The sequence below is a fragment of the Homo sapiens genome, chromosome 16, assembly GCF_000001405.40.
Source record: "Homo sapiens chromosome 16, GRCh38.p14 Primary Assembly".
NCBI classification, from domain to species: Eukaryota; Metazoa; Chordata; class Mammalia; order Primates; family Hominidae; genus Homo; species Homo sapiens.
In genome coordinates, this window is record NC_000016.10 from 53,149,732 (window position 1) to 53,165,458 (window position 15,727).

The 15,727-nt window shown below is 37.2% G+C and overlaps 1 protein-coding gene across 37 annotated transcripts in view; it reads left to right on the forward strand.

Moving 5' to 3' along the window:
* CHD9 (chromodomain helicase DNA binding protein 9) overlaps positions 1–15,727 on the forward strand; it is a 272,507-nt gene that overhangs the window by 94,741 nt on the left and 162,039 nt on the right. For 25 of the 37 annotated variants that reach the window (XR_007064921.1, XM_047434707.1, XM_047434693.1 and 22 more), the window contains one exon: positions 6,195–7,810. Coding sequence is in view for 36 of the 37 variants with exons in the window: in XM_047434693.1 (XP_047290649.1) it covers positions 6,359–7,810 (1,452 nt within the window). In the remaining variant the exon portion in view is untranslated. Of the gene's footprint in view, positions 1–4,715; positions 4,813–6,194; positions 7,811–15,727 lie in introns of all 37 variants that reach the window. The other 12 variants (XM_017023719.2, XM_047434699.1, XM_024450459.2 and 9 more) reach the window with 1 other exon arrangement.

The window sequence follows — 15,727 nt, forward strand, 5'->3', positions numbered from 1 at the left end:
ATATATTTTGTAGAAATGGGGTCTTGCTGTGTGTCCCAGGCAGGTCTTGAACTCCTGGCCTCAAGCAGTACTGTTACCTCAGCCTCCCAAAGTGCTGGGATTGTGGCAGGTATGAGTCACCGTGCAAGGCCCTCTTGTAACCTTTTTTTACTTACAGTATTTTGTTTGATACTAATATCCCAGCTCTCTTTTGGTTACTATTTCTGTGGAATATATTTTTTCATTTCTTGTTTTTTATCCTCCTGTGACTTTGTATTTAGAGGGAACCTCTTGTAAACAGTATATAAGATGGATTATGTTTTTATTTTCATTTTTATCCATTCTGCTAATCTTTTCCTTTTAAGTAGAAAATTTCATTCATTTACATTTAAAGTAATTATTGATAAAGAAAACATACTTCTGTTATTTTGCTTTTTGCTTTTTAATGTCTTGTATGCTCTTTTTTCCTTAATTCATCCATTACTGCCAATTTCTTATATTTAGATTTTTTTTTTTTTGGTAGCATTCCTTTTTGATTTCCTTCTTTCCTTTTCTGTATATTTTTTAGTTATTTCCTTAATGGTTATGTTGCGGATTATAATTAACAAAAATTATAACAATGTATTTTAAATGCCAAGTTAGTTTCAGTGGTATACACATGCTCTGCTCCTAAACATCTGTCTCTTCACCTTTATATTGTTATTATCAAAGATTACATCGGTCTACATTGTGTGCTTGTTAACAGAAATTTAAATGGGTTATCTATTTGCCTTTAGGATCATATTTTTTAAAAAGGCATTACATACCAAAGGTACAATAATGCTGGCCTTTATATTTACCTATATAATTACCTTTAGCAGCATTCTTTGTTTCTTCATATGGCTTCAAGATACTCTCTAGTGTCCTTTCATTTTATCCGAATGGATTCCCTTAATCATGTCTTTTAGGGCAGTTCTACTAATAACAAACTCCTTTAGCTTTTATTTATCTGCATGGGTCTTAATTTCTCTTCATTCTTAAAAAATAGCTTTTTGCATAGAATTCTTAGTCAACAGTTTTTTTCTTTCAGCATTTCAAATATTTCATGTCAGCACCTCTGGCCTTCATGGTTTCTGATGAGAAATCCACTTGTATCTTGTTGAGGCCCTTGTGTACTTGATGAGTCTTTTTTCTCTTGCCACTTTCAAGATTCTCTTTGTCTTTTGACAAATTGACTATAATGTGTTACGATGTGATCTCTTAGAATTTATCCTCCGCGGAGTTTGGTGAGCTTCTTGGATATGTAGATTAATGTCTTTCATCAAATTTGGGGAGTTTGGGGCCATAATTTCCTCAAATAGTCTTTCTGCCCTTTTCTCTCTCTCCTTCTTCTGGGATGCCCACAATGTATATTTTATTCTCTTGATTTTGTCTCATAGGTTTTTTTAGGCTTGATTCACTTTTCTTCTTCATTTTTCTTTCTTTTTCTTTTTCTTTTTCTTTTCCCTCCCCTCCCCTCCCCTCCCCCCCTCCCCTCCCTTTCCTCTCCTTGTCCTGTCCTTTCCTTGTCCTGTCCTTTTCTGATGGAGTATTGCTCTGTCACCCAGGCTGGAGTACAGTGGCATGATATCAGCTCACTGCAAACTCTGCCTCTCGGGTTCAAGTGATTCTCCTGCCTCAGCCTCTCCCAAGTAGCTGGGATTACAGGCGCCTGCCATCATGCCAGGCTAGTTTTTATATTTTTTTAGTAGAGATGGGGTTTCACCATGTTGGCCAGGTTGGTCTCGAACTCCTGACCTCAGGTGATCCACCTGCCTTAGACTCCCAGAGTGCTGGGATTACAGGCGTGAGACACCACGTCCAGCCTCTTCATTATTTTTTCTTTGTGATCCTCATATTGGAGAATCTGGTAATTTCAATTCTTCTATCTTCAAGTCTTCAAGTTTGCTGATTATTTCTTCGGTTTGCTCAAATCTCCTGTTGAACAACGATAATGAATTTTTTATTTCGGGTATTGTACTTTTCAGCTCTAGAATTTCTATTTTGTTACTTTTAAGATGTTCTATTTCTGTATTGATATTCTTATTTTATTCATATGCTGTTTTCCTGGTTTACTTTCATTCTTGGGCCATGGTTTCCTTTAGCTCTTTGATCATATCTAAGACACTTGATTTCAAGTTTTTGACCATCAAATCTAATGGACTTTCTAAGGGACAATTTCTGTCAACTTTTTTCTTCCTTTGGATGGGCTTTCTTATTCTTTGTATGCTTTCAGGGTATGTGTGTGTGTGTGTGTGTGTGTGTGATTGTGGGCAGGGGTGCACATACACACGTGTGTGTGCATATGTGTGTGAGAAAACCAGACCATTTGATACTGTGATGTGCTAACTTCAGAAATAAGATTTACCCCCTCCCTTAGCATTTGCTCGTCTTGATTGTTGAAGGCTGGAGTCATTCATTTAGACACTTTTCAAACTATTTTCTGTAGTGACTATATTGGTTGTTGTCTGAGGTTACTGAAGCCTGTATTACTTAGGTTTGTGTTTAGCCAGTGTTTTAATACAGATTTCCTTGAATGCTGGGAGTATTTTCTTTTCAGCATTCTCTTGGTTGTTATAAATATTTGACTGTTTTCCAGAGTTCTGATAAAGTTGGTTCTGACACTTCCTGCTTGTTTTTGGTGTTTCTGTGGAGAGACAGGTGTTTGGAGCTGTCTAGTCTGTCATTTTGCTGGCATCACTCTCTCATGCTTGGCTTTTTAGTGACCTGAGGAGGCCATTGTGGCTGAAGCAAGGGGGTGAGCAAGAGAGAAGTGCAGCCAGAGCTGAAGGCAGAGAGCTGTTCTGGTGGTGGTGCAGGGCTGTGCTTACAAGTCATAGTAAGGATTTCAGTTTTTCATGTGAGTGACATAAAGAGTCATTGGAGGGTTGTGAGCAGAGGAGTGTCCTGAATTAACTTGCATTTTAATGAGATCACTGTTTTGAAACAGGGCAAGGTAAATAGCAGGCTGTTAGTTGCCAATCAAGTGTCCAAGATGAGAAGTCAAGTAGTTTATTAGGTAAATGGGTCTAGATTTAAGGTAGTGATATATAATTAATAGATGTAAGTTAGGGAATTGCCAATATAGAGATTTTATTTAAAACCTTGAGATTGGATGAAATCACCTTGGAAGTGATTATAGATAGAAAAGAGAAGAGGTTGGAGTCCTCAACATTTGTAGATTGTAGATTGAAATCTGTAAAAAGAGAATGAGAATGAGAATGAACACTCAGAAAAGTAGGAGAGAAACCAAGTGAATACCATATATAACAATTAAATGAAGTTAAGTGTTTCAAGGAGGATTCCATGATAACTACATCAAATGCTGCTGATAGGTAGTGTTAGATGAGACGTGAAAAACGACCCTTGTATTTCGTTATGTGAAGGTCCGTATGCCCTCAGGTCAGTTTGGTGAGATGATGGGAATAAAACAATTTCAAGAGAGAATGGCAACAAGTAAATTGAAGACAATAAACCTAAACAGATTCCTCAAGTTTGTTGTAAAGAGGAAGAAAGAAGGGGGAGGAAATTGAAAGGATAATAAATGGGATCAAGAGAGGGGATATTTGAAGATGAGAGAAATAGCAGCTTGTTTGTATACAGATGAGAATGGGACAAATTGATGACTCAGAAGAGAAGAAAGAATTACTGGGGCAATGCCTTTGAGTAGGCAAGTAGGTGGGGAAGGAAGGCAGAGGAAGGAGAGTTTTAATTTTTTATTGCTTATTACAAGAATCAAACATTTTCCAACTTAAATGTAAAACAGTGGAGGAAACTTTTTAAAAGTAATTTCCTTGGTTTTTTCTTCGTTTGTTTTGGAGACAGGGCCTCTCTCTGTTACCCAGGCTAGAGTGTAGTGGCTTAATCATGGCTCACTGCAGCCTCAATCTCTCAGGCTCAAGCGATCCTCCCACCTCAGCCCCCCAAATAGCTGGGACTACAGGAATGCACTATGCCTGGCTAATTTTTTTTTTATTTTTTATTTTTAGTAGAGAGAAGGGTCTCATTTTGTTACCTAGGCTGGTCTCGAACTCCTGGGCTTAATAAGCATTCCTCCCACTTCAGCCTCCCAAAGTGCTGGGATTATAGGTGTGAGCCACTGCACCTTGCCAATTTCCAGATTTATTTATGATATGATTGAGGAAAGCTGATCAGAAATACTTCAGCTTGTAGGTAGGAAACACAGTTATTCTGGCATGTGAGTATCTGTATGCTAGCTGGTAAGGTGCCCAGGAAAGGGGAGATCAGATCAAATAATGAATATACAACTGAATGGAAAGAGTATAAGTCCTTACCTGCTTTAATCCTTACTGGATACAGAGTTAATCAGTTCTTGTTACCTTTTAAAGGGCTAGCCCTAAATAATTAAGGGACAATATTGAATTCATATTAATTTAATATTAACACCCTTTCAATTGATATTTATTACTCAAAAGTATCTGGGCTTCCTAATTTTTTGATAAAAAGTAAGAATTCTAGATATCCTAAATTTAAATTTTCAAATTTTACTAATGTTTTACTAATATTTCCTGAGCTGTGACATTCTAAAGCTGACTGTTCCTCAAACCAAACATCACTTACTATTATTACTGATTATAAAAACATCTTGCTTTTGTATGGAAAACAATTTAATATGCAATGTATCACTTAATCATTGTATCAAGTATGTAGGATAGGCAGAGGGTTTTGTTGATTCTTTAGTTTTTATATTTCTTCAGGTCCCTAATATTAAGGAGCTTTGTGGATGATACTATGCATCTTCTAGAGAAGCAGTCCTCAACCTTTTTGGCACCAGGGACCGGTTTCGTGGATGGGGTAGGGAAATGGGGTGTGGTGGATGGAGGGAGATGATTTCAGGATGAAACTGTTCCACCTCAGGCATTAATTAGATTCTTATAAGGGAGCACAGCCTAGATCACTTACATATGCAGTTCACGATAGGGTTCGGGCTGCTATGAGAATCTAATACTGCCGCTGATGTGACAGGAGGCGGAGCTCAGGCAGTAATGCTGGCTGACCTGCTGCTCATCTCCTGCCGTGCAGCCTGGTTTCTAACAGGCCACGCACCCATTCCATCTGCAGCCTGGGGTTTCGGGACCCCTGTTCTAGAGTTGTCATTTGTGACAGAGTCAGTAAAAATCATTTCAGTAAATTTTGAAGTTTTAAATTTTGATTGATTAAAATGATCTTGATAGCTTACCCTGTCTCAAAAAAATTTTTTTTCCTGAGTCATTTAAAAATATGTCTACTCTAGAGTTCTTATTTATTTTAAAATTTTTCCAGCGCTTAATTTTTACTTATATTACTAGCTTATTTTAACATTGTTATAAGTTTCAAAGTTGTATTAGATAAAATATTTTCTTTGAGAAGACACAGACTTCCACTGTAACTTAAATCATCCAAAGTAACTTCACCTACTTAATTTTTTCTCAGAAAGATCTACCTTGCAAATACTTGCCAAGTAAAATTAGTTGGTAATTAGATTGAATAAAATCAGTTTTGTTTTTTTTTTGAGACAGTGTCTCACTCTGTTGCCCAGGCTGGAGTGCAGTGGCACAATTATGGCTCACTGCAGCCTCAACCTCTCAGGCTCAAGCAGTCCTCCCACCTCAGCCTCCCAGGTAGCTGAGACTACAGGTACACACCACCATGGCCGAGTAGTTTTGAAATTTTTTCTGAGATGGGTGTCACTCTTGTTGCCCAGGCTGGTCTCAAACGATCCTCCTTATCTAAAAGATACAACAGAAAATTAGAAGTTTCAAAATAATTTTACTTATATAATTTTTATTCTTAAAGTAGCTTTATTGAGATATAATTCAGATACCATACAATTCATTCATCTAAAGTGTATATTTAGTGGCTTTTAGCATACTCAGAGTTGTTTATCCATTACCATAACCAATTTTAGAGCATTTTCGTTACCCCCAAAAGAAATCCCATAACCTGTAGCTATCACTCACCAATCACCAGTCCTTTCTACCCACCCACCATGCCACCAGCTCTAGGTGACCCACTAATCTATTTTCTCTCTATATATACTTGCCTACTTTTGACATTTTATATAAATCGAGTCATATAATATGTGGTATTTTGTGACTGACCTCTTTCACTTAGCATAATGTTTTCAGAGTTCATTTTTGTTGTAGCATGTATCAGTACTTAATTTCTCTTTATTGTTTTTGTTCCTTTTTTTCTAGGATTTTGACACTTCATGACATGTCATTATTTAGAGCAATAATGAATATTGACCTGTTTTGGATTAGTTGATGACCTTCGGAAATGATCCAATAATATCTACTATAGAGAAGCTGAATATACTCCATTTGGAGTGAACAGCCCGGATTGTTACAGAATTTTCAAGATGACAGATCCAATGATGGACTTTTTTGATGATGCCAATCTTTTTGGTGAGACCTTAGAAGGTTTGTCAGATGATGCATTTGTACAACCAGGACCTGTTTCACTAGTTGATGAATTGAATTTGGGTGCAGAATTTGAACCGTTGCACATAGATTCACTGAACCATGTTCAAGGTACTCCAACACATCAGAAGATGACTGATTTTGAACAGTTAAATCAATTTGATTCAATAAAATTTCACCATGTTAATCAATCTTTTGGTAGCCCAGCTGAACATGTGTTATCTCCACACTCTCAGTTTAATTGTTCTCCAATCCATCCCCAAAACCAACCCAATGGTTTGTTTCCAGATGTATCAGATGGCAGTCCAATGTGGGGCCATCAGACAGCTACTACCATTTCAAATCAAAATGGATCTCCTTTTCACCAACAAGGACATTCACACTCTATGCATCAAAATAAAAGCTTTGTGGCACACCATGACTTTGCCTTATTTCAGGCCAATGAACAACAAACACAGTGTACTTCACTACGCTCACAACAAAACAGAAATAATCTCAACCCAGGGCAGAATTCTCTTAGCCAGTCTAAAAATTTTATGAATGTTTCTGGTCCACATAGAGTCAATGTTAACCACCCACCACAGATGACTAATGCATCTAATTCACAACAGTCTATTTCAATGCAGCAATTTTCTCAAACGTCAAATCCTTCAGCACACTTCCACAAGTGTAGCAGTCATCAAGAAGGAAATTTTAATGGACCTTCCCCAAATATGACTTCTTGTTCTGTCAGTAATTCACAGCAATTTTCTTCACATTATTCCTTTTCCAGTAATCATATATCACCAAACAGTCTACTTCAGTCCTCTGCAGTTCTTGCATCTAATCATACAAATCAGACTTTATCTGATTTTACTGGAAGTAATTCCTTTTCACCTCATAGAGGAATCAAGCAAGAATCTACTCAGCATATCCTAAACCCCAATACATCATTGAATTCAAATAATTTCCAAATATTGCATTCATCACATCCTCAGGGTAATTATAGCAATTCAAAATTATCTCCTGTGCACATGAACTTCCCAGATCCTGTTGACTCAGGAACTCAAATGGGCCATTTCAATGATCATGTAGAAACTAATGGCTTTTCATCTTTAGAAGAGAATTTACTTCATCAAGTGGAATCTCAAACTGAGCCATTCACAGGACTTGACCCCGAGGACCTCCTTCAGGAGGGTCTTCTTCCTCACTTTGATGAGTCAACATTCGGACAAGATAATTCAAGTCACATTTTAGATCATGACCTTGATCGGCAGTTTACTTCGCATCTGGTAACACGGCCTTCTGATATGGCTCAGACTCAGTTGCAAAGTCAGGCTCGGAGTTGGCATTCATCATTTTCTAATCATCAGCATTTACATGACAGAAATCACCTATGTTTACAGCGACAGGTATGTAGCTCTTTGCTTTTATTTTGGAGATTTGGGGGTAGGGCGGACTGTTAGTCATTGGGTTAATTTTATATGAAACATAGTCAAGATTTCTCAAACTTGGTAATTCCATTAAGTGAACATACATATTTTGATATAGGTTTATATTGTTTTACAAGTCTTGTATTGAAAGTGATTCACTGATATGCTCAAAGCAATAGATTAGCTTCTATATTTAGAAAATTATAAGGTGTTAAGACTTCTTTTGTGATGTTTATGAATACCTTTGAGAGAAAGTTATTTTATCAAAAACAACTTAATAATCATAATTAAAAGGGAAAAACCAGACTGGGAAAATTTTATTGCAAATACAATTAACATTGAGTTAATATTCCTATAAAAAGCTTTATAAATTAGCAAACTTTTAAGACCTCAGTTGATAACTAGATAAAACATATAAGCTGAAATTCACAAAAAGGAAATTAAATTAGTAAACAAAACCAGAATAATATGCAGCTTTAATAATAAAAAATAAATTTAGAATGGTTTTATTTTTACCTATTAGAAAAACATGTTAAATGTTAATGCTTAATGCTGACAAATTTATGGTGAAATTGGTACCTACATGGCTTTGTTAATTAATGCAAATATTTTGAAAAGCAATTTGGTACTAGATTAAAGAATATAAAAATTCTCCATTTTAATAACCCAGACATAGCAGAAGTATATACCCAAAGATATTTGTCTTAATATACTTACAAGGGACAGCTGAAAAAAGCATAGCTCATTATTGTAATCACGATAGACCATAGGCACTAAAAAGATTTTGAACACTAACATTGAGAATATGTTAATGATGGAGAAAAGAGCGTAATTCAAAATTAAGATCACAGTGAAGTAAGGTTAAGAGTGTGGCCTTTGATACCAGACTACCTGGTTTAGAATTGTGGGTCCTGTTACTTAGTAGTTGGGTGACTTTGACTTAGATAATTTCCGTGCGTCTCTTTTTCCTCATCTTTAAAATGTGAAATAATAAAGGATTAATAGATTTATAACATGTAAACATGCTTAGACTATGCCTAGCATATAGTTAGAAATTAATACTTTTTTTTGTTTTTTTTTAATTTTTCTTTTGAGACAGGGTCTCACTCTGTCACCCAGTTTGAAGTGCAGTGGCACCATCAGGGCTCACTGCAGCCTCAACCTCCCTGGGCTCAGGTGATCCTCCTGCCTCAGCCTCCTGGGTAGCTGGGACTATAGGCATGTGCCACCATGCCTGGCTTTTTTTGTATTTTTTGTAAAGATGTGATCTTGCCATGTTGCCTGGGCTAATCTTGAGCTCCTGTACTCAACCAGTCCACTCTCCTCGGCCTCCCAAAGTGCTGGGATTATAGACGTGAGACACTCTGCCCAGTCTTAAGTGTTTTTATTAATTATACTTTTTTTCATAGTAGTATGAAAATATGTATATGGGCCAGTTATGTTAGCTTATGCCTGTAATCCCAGCACTTTGGGAGATTGAGGTGAGAGGATTGCTTGAGACCAGGAATTCCAGACCAGCCTGGACCATGTAACGATACTCTGTCTCTACAATAAATACATTTTTAAAAAATTAGCCAGGTATGATGGTGCACTCCTGTAGTCCCAGCTACTCAAGAGGCTGAGGTGAGCAGATAGCTCAAACCCAGGAGTTCCAGGCTGAGGTAAGCCATGATCACACCACTGCCAGTCTAGGCATTAGAATCAGACCCTCTGAGAAAAAAAGAAAATTTGTATATGAAAAAAATACCAGAAGAAAATAGGTTTAAGTAGTGCAGTTTTTCCCTTACTTTCTACAATTTTGTCGTGAACATATTACTTTTATAATAAAAAATTAATGTAATATTTTATGTTTTTAAAAATTCTCTTGTTAAATTAAGGATTCATAAAATGCTTCAATACCTTGGTTACCTGTGAGATTCTGTGGACAATGAAATATACCAAAGTTCTTGAAATTAAATATTTAGGGATCCATTTTTCATTTTAAAGCCTTGAAGTATTTGAAAAAGAAAAAATCTTTGTCTTTCCCATTGGATTGACTATAGTTCTATTTCTTTTTTCCTTTTTTGAGAAGGAGTCTCACTCTGTCTCCCAGGCTAGAGTGCACTGACACAATTTCCACTCACTGCAACCTCTGCCTCCCAGGTTCAAGTGATTCTCCTCCCTCAGCCTCCTGAGTAGCTGGGATTATAGGTGTGTGCCACTATGCCCAGCTAATTTTTGTATTTTCAGTAGAGACGGGGTTTCAGCATGTTGGCCAGGCTGATCTCTGGTCTTGAACTCCTGACCTCAGGTGATCCACCGGCCTTGACCTCCCAAAGTACTGGCATTACAGGCGTGAGCCACCATGCCCGGCCACTTTAGTTCTATTTCAGAACGATATTTCAGCATATTTTTTGAAATGTCTAGGGAGATGTAGAAACATTTAAAAGACACTTATAAACCCTCCATGTCCCCCTCTTTTTATGACATGAGTTGAGTATTGTGATTTTGCTCCCCCTACTGGAGGAAGATCAAGCATCTCAGAAGGACCCTGGGAAAACTCTCCACTGATTGAACTTAGGTGCATCTATCTACTTTGTATGTAGGTTTCTGACTAGTTTGACCAATCATTTTTGTCCAGTGTATACTTGAAATTATGAGAGCTTATTGATTTATTTTTAAACATTTTATTCTCCTAAGACTTTATCATTTTGATTCATGTCTTTTTGTTGCTTTTGTTTTGTTTTTTAATTAATGCATTTCTAAACATGTTTCCCGGGCTTTAAAAAGTAGTAAGGACTCCTTTTTATAGATTTGGAATGAATGGAGGATAATTATAAATAACTAAAGCAGTCTCTAATGCTAGCATGTAGATAGAGAGCACTCCATCTGAGAGAAGTTATTTTCAGACCTACCTTAAATCATCTTATTCTACACTGATAAATACGGTTTTAAGTCACTCACTTTTTTGTTTCAGTTTTTTTTTTCTTGTTTTGTTAACTTGTTCTTTTTTCACATGTCCAAAAACTGATAAAGGGCAGTTTGTTTGGAATTCTTTTTTGACTTACTGAAAGTCTATTCTCGGCCAGGCGCAGTGGCTCACGCCTGTAATCCCAGAACTTTGGGAGGCCGCGGTGGGTGGATCACCTGAGGTCAGGAGTTCAAGACCCGCCTGGCCAACATGGTGAAACCCCGTCTCTACTAAAAATACAAAAATTAGCTGGGCGTGGTGGCCCATGCCTGTAATCCCAGCTACTTGGGAAGCTGAGGCAGGAGAATCGCTTGAACCCGGGAGGCTGAGGTTGTGATGAGCCAAGATCACACCATTGCATTCCAGCCTGGGCAACAGAGCAAGACTCTGTCTCAAAACAAAAAAAGAAAAGAAAGTCTGTTCTCGACCAGGTGCCATGGTTTATGCCTGTAATCCCAACACTTTGAGAGGTTGAGACAAGAGGATGAGTTGAGCCTGAGAGTTTGAGGCTGCAGTGAGCTGTGATTGTGTTGCTCCACTTACCAGCCTGGGTAATAGTGAGACCCTGTCTCAAAAAAAGGAAAAGAAAAAAGAAAAAAACACTCTGTTCTCAAGTTTCCTATTACTTCTTAGTTTAAACAGTGATATTTGGGATTCGTTGATTGTGAGAGTGAAAAAGAGAGATGGATTGGTAGAGAGGATTATTATGATTATTGTATGTTGCATATCAGTTTTATATGTACTGAATTATAGGTCACACATCTTAAATATATGAAATGCAAATGATTTAATATGTGGAATTCATGACAAATTTTGACAGAGCATAGACTTTTTTACCTATATAATTTTTGCATGTTCTGTATAGTTATGGTACTACATAGCTGAAATGTTATATTAATAAGGAGTTCTTATATTATTATGATGCTTCCACAGGTTCTATGGAAAGAAATTTTTTTCTGGGTTCTTTGTTGGGCTTCTTTAACTCTCTTAATTGTAGTAATTTCATTTTAGACTAAATTAACATCACTACATGTGTATAAAAGTTAACAGATTTAAACATAATGAAGTGGCATAATTTTTTAGTTTATGAAAAATAATTTTGAGGTATGTTTTGTTAGAGCCAAAACAAGACATTCTTTAACCTACTGTTTAAAAAACCATGGATGACAATCTATTTAGAATTCTAGAACGCTTTAGTGAGAATGTTGAATATTTAAAGAATATTTCTAAGCCTTGCTTTTTTCTTTCTTTTTTGTTTTTGAGATGGTCTCACTCTGTCACCCTGGTTGGAGTGCAGTGGTAGATCTCAGCTTACTGCAACCTCTGCCTCCTGGGCTTAAGCGATCCTCCCGCCTCAGCTTCCCAAGCAGCTTGGCACCACAGGCATGCACCACCATGCCCCACTAATTTTTGTATTTTTTTGTAGAGATGGGGTTTTGCCATGTTGGCCAGCCTGGTCTCGAACTCCTGAGCTCAAGTGATCCACCTCAGCCTCCCAAAATGCTGGGATTACAGGTGTGAGCCACTGTGCCTGACCCAGCCTTGCTTTTTTAAATTTCCCAACTATAGTGGGGTGATTGTAGATATCACTTCAAATATCTCAGCGTACGCTAAACTATGTGTCAATTGTTAACAACAGTGAATATTGCTGATTTGACTCTAGAATTTTACTGCTTAGAAAAGAGAGAGGAGCCAGGACACAGTGGGAAGAGAGGCCAGAGGGAGATGAAGAATAGTAGGGTTGTTGGGAGGAGGAAGAAAAAAGAAAAAAAGTGAGAAGCTATAGCAAGTGTTTCCAAATGTAAGTATGTACAAGACTAACATAGGGAAAATACTAGCTTATTTATCATCTCTAATTTTTGGAGCAAAGGAATTTTGAGAGAATAATACTCTGAACTTTTTATTGCTCTCATAACAAATATTTTCTGCTGTCTTTATAGCAGAATCTTTAGTTTTTGTCTTATTCGTGAAGTGGAAATAACATGTGGAGCACTGTGTGATCTCTCAATGTTTGTAAATTAAGTTTAGTGTAAAAATTCTGTGTAAGTGAAACATGTTATGAGGGATGGCAGAACTGGCATTCGAAACAGGAAATAGAATTTTAAGATATACTCATACATAATGTTTTATTGCCTTTTGTATTTTGATAGATTTTGTAGTTTATTACCTTGAATTATTATTTCTTTTCCTGAAGATAGAGAAATTTACATTACTTATAAACTTAAAAAAAACTTGTAAAAGAAAGATAGGTTTGAGCAGCACATATAAGCCTTTTTTTTTTTTTTTTGGTGGGGGACAGGGTCTTTGTCACTCAGACTGGAGTGCAGTGGGGCGTGATCATGGCTCATTGCAGCCTCCATCTCCTGGACTCAAGCAGTTCTCCTGCCTGAGCCTCCCCTGTAGTGAGCCACCAAGCCTGGCTAACTTTTTTTATTTTTTGTGGAGACAAGGTCTCACTTTGTTGCCCAGGCTGGACTCAAACTTCTGGCCTCCAGCAATCCTCCCACCTCAGCCTACCAAGGTGCCTGACAAATTTAATAAATGGTTGTTATAAAAAAATGGGTATCAAAAATAATGTGAAGAATAAGTCGTTTGTAATATTATTACCAAAAGATAATCACTGTTGCTGTTGTGTTATGTAAGATTCCAGTGAGATCTCTTGTTTGTCCTTTTGCCATTTCCCATATACATATTTTTAATTTTTTATTTTTTGTTGAGACGGAGTTTCACTTTTGTTGCCCAGGCTAAAGTTCAATGATGTGATCTTGGCTCACCACAACCTCCACATCCCAGTTTCAAGCAATTCTCCTGCCTCAGCCTCCCAAATAGCTGGGATTACAGGAATGCGCCACCACGCCCGGCTAATTTTGTATTTTTAGTAGAGACAAGGTTTCTCCATGTTCGTCAGGCTGGTCTTGAACTACCGACCTCAGGTGATCTGCCTGCCTCGGCCTCCCAAAGTGCTGGGATTACAGGCGTGAGCCACTGTGCCTGGCCAATATTTTTGAATTTTAAAGAAACAAAATTGAGATCATATAGTTCACACTTTCTGGCAAATTGCTTTTTAACCTTCCAATGAATATGATGCATACATTTTCCATGGCATTAAGTATTTTTCTAAAAATGATTTTGAGTGGCTGAATAATTTGTAATGGTTTAGCAACCATTGTAATGTTGCTAAAGTTCCATATAAAAGTAAGGTTATTACTGAGATCTGGAAAAATCTGAATCAAGGTGATTAAAATATCTTCATATTTTTATCGCATATATTACTGTAATAATTGAATTTAAAGTAGAAGCATAGTAATAAAAAATTAGAATAGGTAAGACATATAGCATTTACATTGTGCCAAGCACTGTTCTGAATACTTAACATATGTTATCACATTGATCCATCACAACCATCCTTTTATTTGGATATGATTTTTTTCCTTCAATCTGCATGGTTGGAAACTGAGATACAGAGAAGTTAAGTAATAAACCCCAAGTCACACAGCCAGTAAATGGCCATACTGGATTCAAACCCTATTTGACTCCATTATTTCTGGTCTTAACAACTTTCACTTTACTTAAAAGCATATTAATACATTGTAATATTTAACAATAATGTACTAAATGATTTCTTCCCTCTTCTGCCATTGAAAAATTAAAAACTGGCTTTAGAATCTTTAAGTGGCAAAGACCATGCCTCTCATGTTTTCTGGCTATATTCACAATCGTTTATCTATTAGCAGAGGAAGAACCAATGCCAAAAGAAAACAAACAAAAAAGCTCAACTAGGCCAGGCATGGTGGCTCACATCTGTAATCCCAGCACTTTGGGAGATGGAGGCAAGAGGATCACTTGAAGTCAGGAATTCAAGACCAGCCTGAGAAACCATAGTGAGATCCTGACTGTACAAATATATATTTTTTTAATTAGCTGGGAGTGATGGTGTGCACCTGTAGTCCTAGCTACTTAGGAGGCTGAGGCAGGAGGATCACCTGAGCCCAGGAGGTTGAGGCTGCCGTGAGCCAGGATTGTGCCACTGCACTCCAGCCTGGGTGATAGAGCAAGGCCCTGTCTCAAAAAACAAAAAACAACCATAACAACAAAAAACTAAGAAGTGTTCTGTTTTTTGTTTTTTTTTTGGAGGGGGGGGTTTGTTGTTGTTGTTTTTGAGACAGAGTCTTGCTCTGTCACCCAGCCTGGAATGTAGTGGTGCAATCTCAGCTCATTGCAACCTCCACCTCCTGGGTTCGAGTGATTCTTGTGCCTCAGCCTCCCAGGTAGCTGGGATTACAGTCATGCACCACCATACCTGGCTACTTTTTTGTATTTTTAGTAGAGACGGGGTTTCTCCATGTTGCCCAGGTTGGTCTCGAACTTCTGACCTCAAGTGATCTGCCCTTCTTGGCCTCCCAAAATGCTGGGATTATAGGCATGAGCCACCACTCCCAGCCATGTTCTGACATTTTTTATAAGATTATGTGTAAGATGATAGCAACAGATGCCCTAAAGGTAAATCCAATAATTATCTTCAAATATTTTGAAGGACTTTAGAGGTCATTATTAGGCCGTGTAAGTAGAAGTCACAGAAAAGCAGACTGTCATTTAATTTAAGGAAGAAGTTTGAAATAAAGCTTTTCACTGAAAGCAGGGAGATGGAATAGCTTAGATATGTCACAGAAAGAATTTCTGTAGCAGGTGGAAAATGGACTAAATTGGAGGGTTATTTCAACTCTTAAGATTCTATGGTTGTAATTTTAGGTTTTATTATAGGATATAACATTCATATTGCCTATTTAGCTCCTGAGTGGCAATTACAAAAGGTGAAGAAAGGTAAACACATGACAAGTCCTCCACTATCCAATTATGTCAGGAAATTATTTGTTATAGATGAATAAATTTTCCAGATAGATGGAATATATTTTAGCAAGACTCAAAAACTTTAATTACATGGATCT